Genomic DNA, 19,266 nt, shown 5'->3' on the forward strand with positions numbered 1-19,266 from the left:
TATTTTTCCTTAACACAGTGACATTTTTATATTTTTGCTTTTAATATTTTGGTGTTCTTTTTCTCTTCAAAATGCAATAAGTATTCCACTGCTTCAAAATTACAGTAGACAATAAATTTAAGACAAAAAGATACAAAATTTTTCAGGAAGACCATTAATAAAAGGATAAATCAGCTCAACAAAGTGGATGTTAAGATAAAAAATATTTGGTAATGTGCATCAAATGCCTTTTAAGTGTGCATAATCTTTGACTCAGGAATCATCTTATTTCTTAGACTTCACAAAAAGGAAATCATTATGAATTTATGTTTTATGTTTAATGATATTCATACCATCATTGTTTAAAATGAGGAAACTATGAAATAACCACTATGCAATATTCAGGGGCTAGTTAAATAAATTTTGATACCACCATAATGAGGAATACTGTTACAGCCATTGAAAACTACATTGTAGAAAATACTTAATGTCCTAGGACAAAGTTCAAGCTACTTTAGATGAGAAAACACCAACTGGTCCTAGAAAACAAAATACAGTTTGGCATCGGGAGAGGTATATTATCTTTGGTATTAGGATTAAAGTAAGTTTACTTTTTACTGTATTGTATTCTGCATTTTACAAATTTTCTTACAATGATGATGTTTTATCTTTTTAGCTGGGAAAAAAATAACTTTTTTATGAGCTCTAGTTTCAGATAAAAAAAAGTTAAGTAGAACCTTCAAAAATCTCCTTCTGTCTCTCTCTCACCTTCCACCAAAGCTTGTGTGTGTGTGTGTTTGTGTATGTGTGTGTGTGTGTTGACTGTGTGGTCAGTTGCCTGGTCACTGCCACCATTCCCTGCAGTATGTATTCCTTGATAAGATGAACCTTGTTGACTAGTTACAGGGAATCCAGGAATATGGAACATTTTAACTCAGCAATAGAAATAGAGAAAAGTACAGGCTGAAAGCTCCAGTCAATGAAGCCCATGTCTGTTATAGTTCCCATCATGTTCCTAGGACCCAGCGGAGTGCCTGGCACTCAGGAGGTTCTCGATTAATATATTTCCCACCCATGTTCCTGGGACCCAGCCAGTGGCTGGCACTCAGGAGGTTCTCGATTCAATGGAAAAAGTTACCTAAATCCCTAATAGAACAATATATTGCCATAAAGCAGAAAAAAAACAAAATTAATGAATTATTTCCCAATGCTATCAAGGAAATCAGCATTTCAACTCATTGAACATTAAGCATTAGTTGATCTGGTAAGTTTCTTATGATACTACTTCATGTAACATCTTCACAATATCAACAACAAAAGCCCAGTTTTCCATTATAGTCCATAATTTCAGTATCAATACAAATTACATCTATGGATTTCAACTGCCAAAATATCCAACATGTTTAGTATGGTGTCAGAAGATTCCGCACAGGAGTGCACTCCTATACCTACAAATACAGACTCCTAAACGATTCATAGAAAACCAGATCTAAAAATGAAAAACCAAAATACTAAGATTTTACCTATCCAGTCTGTACAATATCCTCTCTCTGGGTTTAAGAGAAAGTTTTAAAGGAGGGTTTATCTTATTGTGAGATTGTTTCTGTATTATACTAGAGAGTGCAAAAATTCCATATGTCTGCATTTCAGCAGCTGCAATGCCTCACAAGAATTATTGCATTCCCCACCTATGGCTCCGATGATTCCTCAGGAAATGGAACTGAAAGCTCAAGATTCAATAGCTCCTAACCTCCAGATTTTATCTTTAAGACCCTACATATTTGACTCCAGTAAAGCCATTTCTTGCATATGGTCATCTCAAATCTGGATCAAATTTAAAACCCAGCACAGCTTGCATTGTTTTGATTATTGATATCCCCTGTCTTGGCTGATTCAGCAGAAACTGACTTCTTTTGTGTGGTTCCTCATCTGGAAGTGTGGCTGTCCTTGGTTTTAGGGTATCATAAATTGTTACTGTATTCTTGTTCTTTTTTGAAAGTTCACAGTTTTGGTAGTTAATATTACTTTTATAAAACTAGAATAACTTTTGTAAAATCTTTCTGTTTGATTTCTTCTTAACCTGTATTCAGAATTTCCACTTTACTTGTATAAAACTGTTCAATTATTAAAGTACTACAAACATATTTTATTTGGTAGTTTACAAATGAAGGAAATGAAGTATCATGAGGTCAACATTGAAATGGGCCAAAGCCACATAATTAAGGAAAGATGAAAAACACCCCAAATCCCAAGGTCTATGATCTAGGCCCAATCCTCCATGCCACACCCACTCCCCTGTTCCTGGTACTTGTGCAATAGTGTAGTCGGCTGATACTCGGCCAGTTTAAGGGCACTAGGTTTGAGTAAAACTTCAACATTGTCTTTTTCTCTCTAAACAAAAGACAAATGTCTGTCTTGCAGTGAATTGGATCCAGATGAGATGACATTCCATGTCAGTTCTACTTTTTTTGAACACCCTGAGAGAGCTCTTATCAGGTTTCTGTAGAGATTTTTCTACCATAAATATCACTGTCTTATAACAATCATTTTCCAACAGGCTTTTGAGTGGCCCCTTAGGATGACAAAGGGAGATTCCATGAGAAGTCATGCTATACAATCTTGAAACTATTTCCACTAACTATAATTCTAAGAGGTATATGTTGGAATTTAAATCAATGGCAGATTGATAACTGGAACATTCGTTCATTCATTGAATATATATTTACTGAGTGTCTACTATGTGCAAAGTACTATTCTAGCCTCTGGTAATATAGCAGAGAAGAAAACAAAAAAAAATCCCCAAATAGAGCATATATTCTATTGATCATCATCTGATGAAGATAATTTTACCAAGTAAAGATACTTCACTGCCAAAGCTGACTTCCATTACACATGGGACAGTTAATTAATACTACTGCAAAAATAGCAGTATATGAAGTTATACTGCCTAAAAAGCTAGTTTACATGTCCAGATGATGGGGACAATTATGGATCCCCTGGACTTCAGAATGACATGGATCTTGAAGAGTACATACCCAAAGGATGATCAGCTCTTTTCAGCATTCTTGTCTCTGACAACAGACTGCTAAAATAATAATCCCTAGCCTGAAATCACCTTGAGATTTTCTGCAATTGCTTCCAGCTTCCTAGGCTCTCTCTGTCTGTGTATCAATATTATTGGCAAATGCTCTTATTATTCTGGTTGTTAACTTTTAGAGTCCTTTTCAAAAATTATCCACCAGCCTGCCACGGACTGTATGGTGCCCTTACTTGCCCTGTCTTTGAGTCCTTGCTGAAAGTCAAAAGCTCAGTTTCAACTCCACCTCGGAAGAGAAAGCTGACACAGCTCTGCACATCACATGGGCCCGTGCTGAGAGCCTGTCAGCGCTCCATTCTCCATGCTGCTCGAAATCAAGTACTATAAACCACTATTGCCCTTACCTTTTACAAGGTTATGTCATTAGATGAAAAAGACTGAGTGTAATCTTTCAGCGGCTGATACAAGAATACTTCTTGGGGAGAGCACTGTATCTGTAGGCACAATAGATTGGTAAAAGGATTGGGGTAAAAGACAAGAGGTGAGAAAGGGGAGAGAAAATCTAAGGGTGTGCTCAACCAACCCAACATGGACTTTACCCTGCCTTCTGAGGAGGTGAGTCATATTAGATGGAAGGCCCTTCATTCTGCTGAAATTAAGATATTTTCAGTAGGTATGGATGAGGGTCTGGAAGCTCTGAGTACAAAAGGAGTGAGGGGCCAGGTGCAGTGCCGCATGCCTGTAATCCCAGCACTTTGGAAGGCCGAGGCGGGCAGATCGCCTGAGGTCAGGGGTTCAAGACCAGCCTGGCCAACATGGTGAAACCCCATCTCTACTAAAAATACAAAAATTAGCTGGGCATAGAGACATGTACCTGTAATCTCAGCTACCCAGGAGGCGAGGCAAGAGAATCAATCGCTTGAACCTGGGAGGCGGAGGTTGCAGTGAGCCAAGATCATGCCACTGTGCTCCAGCCTAGGCAACAGAGGGAGACTCTGTCTCAAAAAATAAAATAAAATAAAAATGAAAATAAAAAATAAGAGGAGTGAGAATTCCCATGAGGAGAAAGGGGAGCTGGTGCTGCTGGGCACTGTGCTGGGGGAGAGAGAAATTTGAAAAGGTGGCTGAGTCTCCATTAGAAGTACAGTATTTCCATTTTTTGGAAAATAGAAATATCTAATGACGTATTTTAAGTTATTTCATGAGGAACTGGAGATATAACACACGCCTTCCTCCATCTGCAAGGCTTGTGTTGCCCTCTGATTTATGCACTCATTTCTTTAACATTCTGTATTATTACAGAATAACTATTATTCTGTATATTCTATAATAATTAATTATTATAGAATAATTAATACTATTCTGTATTATGTATTTTTGAATACAGAATAGCTCCCTTGCCTTGGGAAGCTTATACTCTAGAATGACAAACTATATCAATAAGCATAATTTTAAAATTCTTATATAACACACAAGATGTTAATAAATGCTATGAAGAAGAGAGTACTGCAGGGTAAGGGAGGTATAGGGTATAGGAGTGGGGTAATAACATTAATATTATTAATATTGGCACCCAATATTAATTAGGGTGCCAGGGCAGGCCTCACTCAAACCTGACATTTGAGCAACAACTTGAAAGAGGTGAGGGAGTCTCAGGAAGATTCAAGGAAGAGCTAGTGCAAAGTTCCTCCGGCAAGAGTCTGCCCGGCAGGTGTCAGGATCAGCAAAAAGACCTGTGTGGCTAGAGTAGCATGAGCAGGGACCAAGCACAAGAATGAGGCCAAGCAGAAGGGAGGGTCCAAACACACAAGGCTCTGCAGGCCTTTGTAAGGACTTTGTAACTTTAACACAAGAGTCATTACATGGTTTTCGGTAAAGAGTGGCATGATCTGACTGAAATTCTTAAAGGATTGCTCTGCCTATTGTGTTGGAAATAGACTCTAGGGGGACAAGGGAAGAAGTAGGGATAGCAGCTGGGAGTCTATTTATTGAGTAGCTGTGGAGGTACTGAGACATGAGTGGATGCTGGATGTACAAGCCATGTACCACGTAACAACATTTTTCTTAACAATGGACTACATATACAACAGTGGCCCCATAGGATTACAATACCAAATTTTTACTGTACCTTTTCTATGTGCAGATATGTTTACATACACAAATGCTTATTGTATTACAACTGCCTAGAGTATTCAGTACAGTAACATACTGTATAGGTTTGTAGCCTAAAAGCCATAGGCTGGACTGCATAGCCTGGACGTGTAGTAGGCTCTACATCTAGGTTCGTGTAAGTACACTCTGATGTTTGCACATGATGAAATCACCTACCAACACACTTCTTAGAATGTATACCCATCGTTAGGCAATATATGACTGACAGTACTAACTTCTGACTATAGGTTGGCTCAGGTCAAATAAACAATGACCATCCTTGAATATCTAGGAGCTTGGGAAATTTCAAACTTTCTTTTGAAAACAGAGTATCATCCACATCAAGAATATACTTACAATCTAAAAATGAATTCAATCTATGTCTTTCTGTCCCTCTAATCCCATCATTAAATGTGGCTTCCTCAGAAGTATCTGTGTTCCAAGCTAAGCAATCCTTCTCACTCTCTTCTTAGACATCTATTAAATGCAGGGCAGGCACTACACTAACCACTCCTAATAGTGCCAGTGCCCAAGACCATCAAAATTGCAGTCTTCTTTAAAAAAACTGTTTTATTATAGCTCACATAATTTATATTCACAGAAGATTTCCGTTTGCTGATTGTCTCTCTCTCCCTTCTAGAATGCAATTTCCTTGAAGAAAGGCATTTTATCAGTTTTTCTTACTGCTATACCCTGAGTCTAGAATAGAACTGACACATTATACGTGCAAGTTAGATATCTGTTGGATAAATAAATGAAGACTGAGAATATGAGGTGTCTATGGAGCATGAATAAATGATCGTTCCTATTTATTGGCTCTCAATGGCAATGAATATCTTACAACTTATTATTTACATTGCTAGGAGAATAAACTACTGATGCAGGAATAAAAATCCCTTTGTGTTACAGTGTGATGCTCACTCAAGCCTGCAGACACATCTGGTTTATGAGTGGCATTTGCTCTTAGTAGGACAACAGATGGCCCTTCTGCGGAAAATAATCTTCCCCACTGGCCTGTGATGATGTGTCTAACATTCCACCCCTGACACCCACATTACCCACACTTTGGGTTAAAATGGTAGGTTTTAGAAGAACTCTAGGTTAGCAAGGAAAGGGGCTTTGGGGCCACATCATGGATTAAAGGGGTGTATTCAGTTTCCTACTCCATTTCAACCAAAGAGCTCTACTGTTGGCTGCTTTATACACATGAGTCCATGGAAAATTTTCTTTGAAAATGGGCTTTTGTTGTCAAAAACAAGTTTGAAAACTCCTTCACCCTTAAGATTTTCTGTTCAGTTGAACACTTAGTTCTGAATGTAATTATAGACTGTTTAGCTTTATGTTATCATTAGCTTTTCATTGTACTTAGACTTGAGAAATGAAACATAGAATGAGTGACTTTTAGGGGTAGAGGGGGACTCAGGAAAGGTATAGAACATGAAGACTCAGAGTAAGAAGTGACACCTGGACCCACAAATGAGCTCAGAATAGCCCTGCTTGAAGGTGTACAGTGTGTGGATTCAACGCTGTTACATCAGGGTACAAGAAAAGCCACAATATTTTCTTAAAGTAAATTCATACTTCCCCACTCAAAAAGCTGATGAGAAAGATCTTTCAGGCATATTTTGCAGGGATCTCTCCCTCCTTAGGATGGTACAAGGATGCAAGGGGCTTACATGGAACCTGGAAGAACGAAGGAAGGACTTCTAGCTTTCATTCCTCAGAGAACTGCCAGAGGCTCATGGCCTCTAAGTCCTCAAGTGAGTGCTAGACAGAACGCGCCATTGTGTCTGTGCCAAGCCAGGGTACAGGGCCATGGTCCCCAGGGTCCAGCTTTCCTGGCTGCCCCACACAGCCATTCCTTTTGGAGGTCCAGCCTCTTCTACAAGCACGTGAGCACTGGTCTCTGCTATATAATGGGAAGGCCATCCTACATCCCCCTGCTTCCTCCTCCACCCTCCAGACATTTCTCTCCATGCCACTCAACCTGGGTGACCCAACACAATCTCTGCTCAGTCCTTCCCTCCTCAATGCTGCTTTCCCTTTCCGGAGGCTGCAGAGATGAAAACACACTTTTTTTTGTTTTGTCTTCTTAGTAGATGGTGCTATTATACTGATGTTTCCTTCACTACTGAGAATGCAAAGGTCTCCATTAGTACCTTTTAACTTACACATTTTTGGTGAAAAGTAGCATATGATAGGTGGTTGGTAAATGCCTGCTGAATAAATGCACTTAAGGAGCTCTTAACATCAATATTCTAAAAAAGGCAATGTCATGGTGACATCTTCTTTTATGGGCTGTAGGCTTCACCTTGCTGCAAAGACAAGGTAAAATCAGCCCCTTGACAACAATACAACTCTTTCATTCAACGTCCCTTGGTGTCATTTATATATCTTTTAATTAGTGAGAAACTGTCTCTGTCAAACAAATGTTCAGAGAAAATCCCAAACAACTCCTGAAATTAAGTCAACTCATTGGTTCATTTTTTTCCTTTGAAATAAAGCTATGCTTTGATTCAATGAAAACTTTGCCATCTGGCCTTCAGCTTAAATTCCTAAAAATAAGAGCTAAGTATACTTATTGCCTGCCTGATAGCATGATGGAAGAGCTATTACTCTATAAAAAAAAATTAGTCATCATAACATTTTCTAAAACATTGTCAAGAAACAACAGAATAGATCTGTAACTGGTGGCACTTTGATAGGAGAGAGAATGTAAATAGAATTTAGAAAGCATTTCCATGTCATCATTCAACATTTCAAGTACAGTCACAGTAAAAAATCCTACCCAGTAGATTTTAAATCTAATTTAAAAAGTAGAAAGTTTTTTTTAAAAGGCAGAGTAAAAAGCAGGAAGCTAAGCTTTATGATCAGAGACTGCCAGAAACTGAAGGCCAAGCAGAAATCTAAAGAATCTTAATTACATTTCAATTTTGGAAGGAAGGAAGGAAGGGCGGGAGGGAGGGGTGAGGGAGAAGTCCTAAATATGACCTGGAAGCATTTTTTTTAAATCGTTGGAAAACAAGATGTACATCATGATTCTGTTATTTATCATTTCCTGAACAGAAGTGCAGTAACATAATTTCAAATTTCTAAAAAACATGGGCAATTTTTAAACTTTTTTGCTTATTATCTATCTGCCTCTCAATGAGACAGACAGATGTTTCTAAATTCAAAGATAATTTCTCATTTAGGTTTCTTGGGAGGTGCTACCTTCCGAATTTGTTTTAGGAAATAAACACTTAGTTTCTTTAAAAAAATTGTGTTTAATAATACTTTAATATATTTTTGAGACTTTCCTCCAATTATAAGGCTGTTTCAAGTGACATTTTGCATTTATTCACTATGAATCATAAAATGATAGCAATGGAACAACATATAAACTACTTCTGACAAATTTTAAACAAATACAGGATGGTTTCTATAAAAGAGTTAAATGATTGCATATAAATCTAAGAAAAATAAAGGAGATAAATTTTATTTGGAAAGAAAATAGTCTCTTGCATACATATGGTAGTATCTGAAAAGCTATATATATATTAGTATTTTTTCTAGACCTTTTTTAAATGTGTAACTCAGTCACAACGTTTATGGAAAGACTTAGGACAAACATAAACAAAGAAAAATCATCAGTTTGAAGAGCCATCCCATGGTATTTTTCTTATTCGTTGGGCTATACTGTACAAATTGAACAAATTTCATTTTACAAGTTAACAATTTGTGGACTTCATTCCAACTCTAACCAAACTTATTTTTAATCACAGTTTCTTTTAGTCCATTTTATGTATTGGCTATTTAAAAGCTAAAATAAATTGCCTATGACTTTACAATATTATGTATCCTGAGAACCAGAAATAGAAAAAAAACATACTTCTTTCAAATTTACAGTGAAAAGAACTTTGAAAAATATCTTTCAAAAACAGATTACGGTTCTACCCTAATGTCTAAAAATTCACTTCCAATCCCATGAAGAATGTATTGCATCACTTTCCTACCTACTCTCTATTGTTGATTACCATAACTTGACTATTTCAAAGCATTAGCATTCTTTTTTTTTCTTTTTTTTATTATACTTTAAGTTCTGGGATACATGTGCAGAACGTGCAGGTTTGTTACATAGGTATACACATGCCATGGTGGTGTGCTGCACCCATCAACCCGTCATCTACATTAGGTATTTCTCAGCATTAGCATTTTTAAAAATCCACTGATCTTCAGGATATTGGTACTGTAGGACCTCAACTATCTTCCGGATTGGATAACCAGCGGTTGGATGCCAAGATTCTGAAGCCCTAGGTCAGCACTCCGCTGGAGCCCCTCCTATACTCTCCATTCCCTTCACTCACCACATAAACCCCACCCACCAGCTCCCATGCAGCAGCCGGTAGTGACAGCACATATTCACTGGGTCAAGGTAGAATTGGGAAAACCTAGCTACTTCTGAACATCTGACCCTTCATGCTTAAACTACCCCAGAATAATCAGATAACTTCCATTCTGAACACTACCATAATTAAGAGAAAAAAGTTAATGGTGAGGAAATGAGTTCATAAACACCCTGATATCCACACTAATACTGAATCTACAGACCAGAAAAGAAACTATTCACAATCATGACCTGAGATAGGAAAATAAAGGTAATCTTGTAGAAAAGCAGAGATTGGTATTTAAACTTACACTATCTGCGCTGCTTTGGCGAATTACTTAACTTTTCTGAGCTTCAGTTTCCTTACCTGAATCCCACCTACTTTGGGATCGTCTCTGAGTATATTAATCAGTAATGGACATAAAGTGCCGAGCACCAAATCAGGTAAGGCCCAGTATGTTCTGTTTACTAAGGCTGGGAAGTGTACAACTCACCTCTGAAAGATGGCCATCTCAAACTATTGAAAAACGCCTTTTGCTTAAAGGGTTAACCTGCAGTTAAGCTGAGGTCCTAACCCCCAAACTTATGGATATAGCATATCTACTTAGACTTGGAAGGTAGGGGCACCTGGGTTCTTTGAAACAACCCAGATAACTGGAGGAGAAAGTGGTCTCAAGTGATCAACACACACAGGCATTAATACAACAACATCTAGGAACAGAATTATTTAATACGAACTTCTCTTTGGCTCATAAACAGAAAAGGAAGTCAATTGCTTCAGGAAAGTTGATTTTCACTGTTTAATCGTTTGTGTCCTGTTAAATGATTTACACGCTGGTGGAACACAGAGGTCTCTGGATTCTTTCTCCCAGGCTCCTCCGCTTTTCTACTACCGCATGCCTTTCACAGCACACTACATAAAATCTCTCTCAGTATCCCTAGTTACCAGGATTGCATATAACAAAGCCACACAGACTAAACCTAACAGGGGAAAAAAAAATTAACCTTGCGTAAAACTAAATACAAGCACAATTTAATTAACTCGCATTCCAGAGTCATAGCTCCCAATTTGCTAAGTCTAGAGGATTGGTTACACAACATCCAAGCACTCAGCAGGGAGGGGAGAAAAACTGCTAAAATGTTTCCAGAATCTTCACAGGACTCACATGTTCTTTTATACTGGTAAACAGGAATGATGGCCCCTGTGAACAATCTATAGCCATCCAATCAAGGAGACAGAACGAGCCAGGGCAATAAGGGGTAAGAGGTTCAAAGAGGTTGAAGTTTCAGGAGAGACTACAGGGGAAGAAATGTACAGAAAATATCTGGCCTTAAGATTAGCCCTGAGTCAAGCAGAGAATGGTCTACTTTATCCATAAAGAGGGAACGCATTGAGCAGATAACGGGAAGTCAAAAACTGTGCTCCTATTCCTATGAACTCTCATTGCTGCAATTTGAGCAGATACAGAGTCTCCTCTAAAAACACGCTATCGATCAACTGAATATGCTTAACCCCGAGAGGTTTCATAACATGAAGATATGTCAGTGGTGGAGGGTGTGGGAGGAGGGGCTGAACTCAGAATACAGGTGATACTTCTGAGAGAAGGTTCATTTTTTTCCACTTGACAAAAGGGTAGGACACGTGCAGTTCCCAAGCCATATCACACGATGGCAGCCATACTCAGCACGTAGTCGCTGTGAGGCACACACAGGGAAGAATTCAGCCTGATCCCCTCAACTGGTGAGAGGCATGGCGACCCAGTGGATTTCAGCTAAGAGATATCTTTTCTGAAGGGCATACTTGGCTTGTGATTGCGACTGAGTAAATCTGAAATAATGAAATCCCACTTCTACCAATGATTACTTAAGGTAAGTGAAAGCCCTTCACAGTTTATGCCTACTCCTACTGTTTGCACACATTTCTACTGCTTTTTTTCCCCCTGACTGGTTTATCAGAGCTCCTTGTGTTGCAATTATTTTCTCCCAGTGTTTCCTGTATTTGTCTTTTAAATCTATAGCTTCTTCAGCTACATGAAAGTTTTGCAAACGTGAAGTCTAACATGTCAGTCTTTATGGTTTACGTCTTCATAAACCATGCTTATATTTGTGATAGAACAAAAACTCTGTGAGGGCAGTGAATTTTACCTGTTTGGTTTCTTGCTGTGGCTGAAGGACCCAGAAGAGTGACAAGTGTAGAGCATGAACTAAATAAACTTTGCATTCACCTAGAGCCTTTCTAAAGCAGATGGAAAATACTACTGCCAAAATTAAGAGATACATTCTGGCCACAATACACCAAAAACAGGCCACAAGATAGAGAAACTAGGTCAGATTTCCTAATAGTCAAAACTGATTTCGACGTGGCCATAGGGGGAGGAGACAGATTGATCAATCGGTTGATTTTTGTTAAAATAATCAAGCTTCCCAAAAGCCATAGTCAAAATGAAAAATACGTAGCCTGACCTCTCAAAATGCTTTCCAGATTCAAATTTCAGCAAAAGGGAAAGAAATTTATTAACTGCTTTGAAGCCAGTACCTTTCTTAACACCTACCACAAGAGGGAGACCACATCATAAATTCAAGCACACGGCCCGTAAAATATTTGTGAAGTGCCCCCCGTGTGTAACAGTATTTGAAAACCATCCTATTTCATGTGTTTTCAGTATTTATTTTAAAACAAAATCATAGCTCTTTTAAAAATCATTTTGCATTTTACATGCCAACACAAAAATATGAATCCTCATAAACCAATAACTATGTTATTTGTGCATTTATTTTAGAATTTGCTTTTTACATTCTTATAATAAACAATAACTTCAGAAATTCAGTTTTTACTCAGCCAGTTTTGTTTCAAATGGCTTTTTATACATTTTTACTACTAATTTGTACATAATGTGATTTCTGTGGATGCTGAATGGATTTTTCAGCAGGTGATCTCATTACAAGATAATCTCATTACAAATCCCTGTTAGAATTTCTCACCGTGGTATCCAGATTGAAATGAAATTCTTCACAGCTGTAGAAAAGTTCTTCCGAAATTTGTTGGTATCATAAGCTCTAAACTGCTCTACTCTATGGACTTTCAAGAAAACTACCAACTTTTGCCTTTCCGTCTGGCGGCAGCCATCAGGTAAGCCAAGATGGGTGCATACAAGTATATCCAGGAGCTATGGAGAAAGAAGCAGTCTGATGTCACGCGCTTTCTTCTGAGGGTCCGCTGCTGGCAGTACCGCCAGCTCTCTGCTCTTCACAGGGCTCCCCGCCCCACCCGGCCTGATAAAGCGCGCCAACTGGGCTACAAGGCCAAGCAAGGTTACGTTATACATAGGATTTGTGTTAGCCGTGGTGGCCGAAAACGCCCAGTTCCTAAGGGTGCAACTTACGGCAAGCCTGTCCATCATGGTGTTAACCAGCTAAAATTTTGCTCGAAGCCTTCAGTCCGTTGCGGAGGAGCGAGCTGGACGCCACTGTGGGGCTCTGGGAGTCCTGAATTCTTACTGGGTTGGTGAAGATTCCACATACAAATTTTTTGAGGTTATCCTCATTGATCCATTCCATAAAGCTATCAGAAGAAATCCTGACACCCCATGGATCACCAAACCAGTCCACAAGCACAGGGAGATGCGTGGGCTGACATCTGCAGGCCGAAAGAGCCGTGGCCTTGGAAAGGGCCATAAGTTCCACCACACTATTTGTGGTTCTCGCCGGGCAGCTTGGAGAAGGCGCAATACTCTCCAGCTCCACCGTTACCGCTAATACAAGTAAAGTTTGTAAAATTCATACCTAATAAACAATTTAGGACAGTCATGTCTGCTTACAGGTGTTATTTGTCTGTTAAAACTAGTCTGCAGATGTTTCTTGAATGCTTTGTCAAATTAAGAAAGTTAAAGTGCAATAATGTTTGAAGACAATAAGTGGTGGTGTATCTTGTTTCTAATAAGATAAACTTTTTTATCTTTGCTTTATCTTATTAGGGAGTTGTATGTTAGTGTATAAAACATACTGCGTGGTATAATAGGCTTAATAAATTCTTAAAAGAAGAGAAAAAAAAGAAAACTACCAACTTTTCTCAGCAACTATCCTATGAAAATTTTGTGACAGTCATTTCAAGACTGCTTAAAAGTAGACAGAACAGGAGGCCAAAAACTTCATAAAATGTGGTATAATTCGAAGGAATCCTGGGAGGTCTCTCTGCTTAAAATATTTCCCAGCTGAAATTCCTCACTGTGAATCCCACTCGTTTAACTTAAGCCAAAAGTCCTCAATTAAAAGCCAATTCCTAAGGACTCCTCTATCTTGCAACTAACCAAGATTTCCAGAGGCTCTCCACAAAAGGCACAGTCCTGGACATGGCAAAACTACAGGACCTTAAGAGATGAAGCCATTATCAGTGATTAATACCTCAGCAGATAGCACTTAATATATTCATCTTCTTTATTTCTACTTTTTAAAAGACATTAGAGAATTTAGATGAGAAAATAGGAAAGGGTGGCATCTAAAGAATGGGGCCCTGGTGAGAATATACCTGGGTATGTACTGACCCTACAGGACCAGGGGTCAGTGTGGGGTTAGCAGGGGCTAAAGAAGAGGGGAGTAGTAAATTACAAGGGAGTAAGAGTGGAGGGAAGTCCTTTGCCATGCTAAGAGCCAGGCATCCATGATCCTTTTAAAGCTAATACTTATCTGGTGCTTTCTCTTCACAGTATATGTCTTAAAGACTTTACCTTCATTTTTCCATAGAACACATTCAAGAGGTGATAACCTCGTTGACTAGAGGATGAAACTAAAGCTCCAGTTACTTTCCCCATAAAATAGCTAATAGGTGGTGGAGCTACATATCAGAATCTAAGCAGTTTGACTCCAGAGTTCATGCTGTTAATATCAATGCTCAAGAGGGCCGTATTAGTTTCCTATTGCTGCCATAAAAATTTGCCACAAATTGGGTGGCTGAAAACGACAGAAATTTATTCTCCCACAATGCTGGAAGTCAAAAGTCCAACAGGGGTCTCACTGGGATAAAATCAAGGTGTTGGCAAAGCTGTCTTCTAGAGGCATCCCTCATTTCTTGGCACATGGATCCCCTTTGTCTTCAAAGCCAGTAACATGGCAGTTGTTTGATCTTAGGGCTGTCATCACATCTCCTTCTCTGACTCTCCTCTTCTGCCTACCTTTTTAAAGATGCTTGTGACTGCATTGAGCCTAATGAGATAATTCAGAATTCCCCTATTTGAAGGTCAGATGAGGAGCACCCTTATTTCCATCTTCAACTTCAATTTCCATTGCCACATAACCTAATTACAGGTCCCAGGATTTAGGACATGGACATCTTTGGGGGGGTCATTATTCTCCCTACCACAGGTGCCTTAATATCTTATTCATTTTTTATGTGCCTCTGGGTTCCATACCAACAACCACCTGCAAATGGCTGACTCAAGCAAGTGTGCCTTCTCTCCCACCTGCTGACTGCCCTCTTCTTCCCTCCTATTGCCTTTGTCAGAAATGCTGCAGCCTGGAATCTTTCTCTAGTCGAAATCTTTGGCTCTGGTCTTATTTCGCTCATTTCTCCTACAGCGAGGAGCCAAGGTGGCAGCCATCTTGGCCATGCAAGATCAGTGGGAGGAGAACTGCTGTTAGATCCTACTCCTGTAATGAGAATGTTCAAAAGACTGGGGAATAATACTCTAAAATGTAAATAAATCTGACATCAGGCCTTGGTTCAACCAAGTGTTCCCTGTGCTTTTGTAGCTATCAGCTACAAGTGCTTGTGACTTTCCCAGGAAGCAAAAGCTGAGCAAGAAACAGAAGAGGGCAATGGCCTGACGAGGAGCTTAGCCTTGACTTCCCTCCCTTTCCATTTGTCGTTAACAACCCAAATCTCTTTGAAACCTCAAAAGAGCAATATATTTCAGGACAAAAAATAAGGTAGGAGATGTCATATTGTTCTGCAGCAGACATAGAAAAGACAGCAAAGAGGCAGTTGCAGAAAGCTGAACAGATAGATAAATCCTTCAGCCAGGGCTGGCTACATAATTTGCAGTACTTTATTTATTTATTTATTTATTTATTTATTTATTTATTTAGACACAAGGTCTCCCTCTGTCGCCCATGCTTGAGTGCAGTGGCACAATCTTGGCTCACTGCAGCCTCGATCTCCCAGGCTCAAGCAATCTTCCTACCTCAGTCCCCAAGTAGCTGGGACGACAGGCACCCACCACCACACCTGGCTAATTTTTGTATTTTTTGTAAAAACGGGTTTTGCCATGTTGCCCAGGCTAGTCTCAAACTCCTGAGCTCAAGCGACTCACCCATCTCGGCCTCTCAAAGTACTAGAATTACAGGCATGAACCACTGCACCTGGCCAGAAGTGCTTTAAAGATACTAAAATATAAATATGTTTTTCCTTTAAAAATAATAAATAAAATAAATACCAATACATTATTAATGTGACATCACAATTGATTATAAGGTTTTTTTCTTACTCAATGTTTTGAAAATTTATTTTTTAGGCCATCAAAATTGTACTGTAGCAAAATTATTTTCATTCTGAATAGCTGTAAATGGCATTAGTAGCTCTACACACAGACAAGGTTGCAAGCAATTTTTGTTAACTTTTAAGTTTGACAAGGATTTTTCTTCTTATGCAACTGTTACTGGAGCTGTTAAGAATATTTTAGAAGCTATGACAACATTTGGGATAAATTTCAATAAATTATTTCAAAATACAAATTTTAGTATGTCTAGAGTTGATGAGTCTCATGGAACAATTTTAATACAAAGACTTAACTCTTCATATGAGTCAGTTTTGTGTAAGTCTGAATTTTAAGTGTAAATTTATTCAATGACATTTTGATGTTTCTTCTGACATTTGCTGAAAATTGTGGAGATCGTACAAGAAATTGAAAGTAGCCTCATGATTTGTATATAATTTTAAGTGCCTGTTTATACATTCTATAACTCTATTTTCAACTTCAAGGGAAATTTTCATTTTATTTTATCTTCCTCATTAATAATTGGTCCATCTGAAGTTCACGTGAAAATAACGTTCTTTTCCACTGAGAATGTGAAATGTAACTTGTTTCTAAGCTTGTGGATATTCATTTTGCAATGTTTCAGCATTTAAATCCAAAGATTCTAAAATCTTTAAAGAGCTCTAATAATTCCTTGATAAATGCTTTATTGCAATGTTCATGTGTATGACTTTATTTTGTAATAATCTACTAATAACGTCTACTTCCTGATGTTGCCAAGCAGTTTCTGTCCCAAGGTTCAGGCTAAAGCGTTAATATTTGTGTAGATGCCACAGAGACGGACTTTGGGGACAAACAGCCAGGCTGGCCTCACAGGGGTACCAGTGCTGCCCCCCTATAGAGCTCCTCCTTCCCCGCTTGTCCTTGGCCGCTGCTACCATACCTGCTGCTTCTGCTGTTGCCAATCTGTGCCCAGGCACTGGCCCGGCCACCTTGTTGCCCTGTAATTACCAGCTGAAGACTCCATTTCCCAGTCCTGTTTGTAACTAGGTGTGGCACAAGCATGGGCTTTGGGTAGCCAGGCTAATTATCCCACATGCATGCTGCCTATGTGCCCCTGATGCACACGCTATACCATCTAGTCTATCCCCACTGCTCACACGCATGATCTATTACCCATCAAACTTACCTGCAAAATGCAAGTTTAAGGATAAAGTTATTAAGAATTTTAAGGCAGTGACAACAGAGCATTAAACCAAATGCTGATCCCTTCTGAGAGTAGGGTCCTGTGCCCCTGCAGAAGTCACCCACCCATGAAGGCAGCCCTGCCCTCAGACTTTGAAGAACAAAGAATGTCAAGGAGGGTAGTGGGATGAAAGCTTGAGAGAAGTCCCCTAAGAAGTCCCACTGGCAGGGGTCTCAGCATCCCAGTACCCCTCAAACCTGACCCCTTGATCACTGTACCCATCTTCCACCCACATCTCTCCTGCCACACCCACCAAAGTCCATCCTGCAGGAGCCACTCTATAGACAAGGGAGCCATGACTATAATGTGGCAGGGACTGCCGGTTGTCATCAGAATGCACTCCCCGCGTTTTTCACAGTAATGGAGTTTAAGATGCCTCCATGTACCCAGCCAAAGACTACATTTCCCAGTTCCCTTTGTGATAGGTGCAGCCATGTTACTAAGGTCTCTCCAACAGAATGGGAGCAAGTCATTCTTCTACTTCACCTCCTTCAAAGAGACGTGCTGCCATGTACTTCCTCTCTGTACCATTCCACAAGCTGGAACACAGATACAGGGCTCAGCCAGCTGCAACCACACAGGTGAAGACCATAGTCTAGGGATTGGTGAAGCAAGAAATAGATGGAGCCCAAGTCTTTGGATAATTTCATGGGGTAAGCCTGACTTGGCAAACTGAAAAGCTCACCTTGGATCTCTTGCTTAACAGAGAAAAAAAAGTTTTATTTAAGCCACTCTATTTTGGGATCTCTATTGTTATGGCAGCTTAGTATTTGCATAATTTGAATCTGGAGAGGGTTCATTCCCATTGTTGATCTATTCATTGAGCAGGTCTGAAAATAAGGTCAAGCCCCTGGTATGAGAGTAAGGTCCCTGGGAAGAAGGTGGGTGGGTTCTTCACATCACAATGAGAACTCTGAAAGCACTTTCCCACAAAGGCATTCATTTACTCACGTTAGCTATAAACGTGACAGACTTCAGCAATCCAGTCCAGCCTAGGGCTGTACCTACAACATTGCTACTACGAGAAAGCAGCTTTCATATCTGAAATAACCAATTTGTAAATATAACTTTGAAATGCAGCCAATTTATTAGCTGAAATCTTCCTGGAATTCTGTACCTACATCATAGAACTGTAGTGAAGATTAATTGAGATAATATATGTTAACAATTAAGCATAGCATCTGATACCAAATGAGCTTTCAATCAATTTGATCTTTTTATTATTACTGACATTATTAAACCGGCATCATAATATAGTCATAATTAACATAATATAGTCATAATATGACACATTATCATGATATATATGATAATATAATGTCATATATATTGACATCATTTAATTATTTTTATTTTGAGACAGGATCATGCTCTGTAGCCCAGCCTGGAGTTAAGTGGGACACTCTCCACTCACTGCAAACTCTGCCTCCCAGGCTCAAGTGATCCTCCTGCCTCAGTTTCCCAAGTAGTTAGGACTACAGGTGTGCATCACCATGCCTGGTTAATTTTTGTATTTTTTGTAGAGACAGGGTTTCCCCATGTTGCCCAGGCTGGTCTTGAACTCCTGGGCTCAAACAGTCCACTCTCCTTGGCCTCCCAAAGTGCTATGATTTCAGGAGTGAGCCACTGCACCCGGCTGACATCATTTATTTTAAGGAAGTATATGGCAACAGGCTTGGGGAAACAATCCTTCCTCCCCTGGCTGCCACACAGAGAGGGATAAGAGATAAATTACTTAAATGTTTACAAATCTCTTAGTTTCCACAAGAAGTTTTAGCAAGTCTTTTCAAAACAAACTGCATAAAATATTACCTCAAAAATACATGAGGTGTTAAAATATTACTCAAACTAGTCAATTAGAAGTAATGGGTTAAGAAATCACCAAGGAAAGAAATGTGCATCAGAAAGAAGAAACCAAGAATTCAGTACATGAGAGAAACATAAAAGGAAGAGCTGCCAAAAGTGGAGAGTGGGCATGATTCATTCTGGAGATCACTGTAAGGTTTCCCCGAAAGACAAT

General features: G+C 39.2%; 1 protein-coding gene and 1 pseudogene across 3 annotated transcripts in view; one reads left to right on the forward strand and one right to left on the reverse strand.

Moving 5' to 3' along the window:
* CORIN (corin, serine peptidase) overlaps positions 1–19,266 on the reverse strand; it is a 244,067-nt gene that overhangs the window by 99,698 nt on the left and 125,103 nt on the right. The gene's annotated exons all lie outside the window — the stretch shown is intronic.
* RPL15P7 (ribosomal protein L15 pseudogene 7) lies at positions 12,629–13,578 on the forward strand (annotated as a pseudogene).

The sequence above is a fragment of the Homo sapiens genome, chromosome 4 (genome assembly GCF_000001405.40).
Source record: "Homo sapiens chromosome 4, GRCh38.p14 Primary Assembly".
Taxonomy (NCBI): Eukaryota; Metazoa; Chordata; class Mammalia; order Primates; family Hominidae; genus Homo; species Homo sapiens.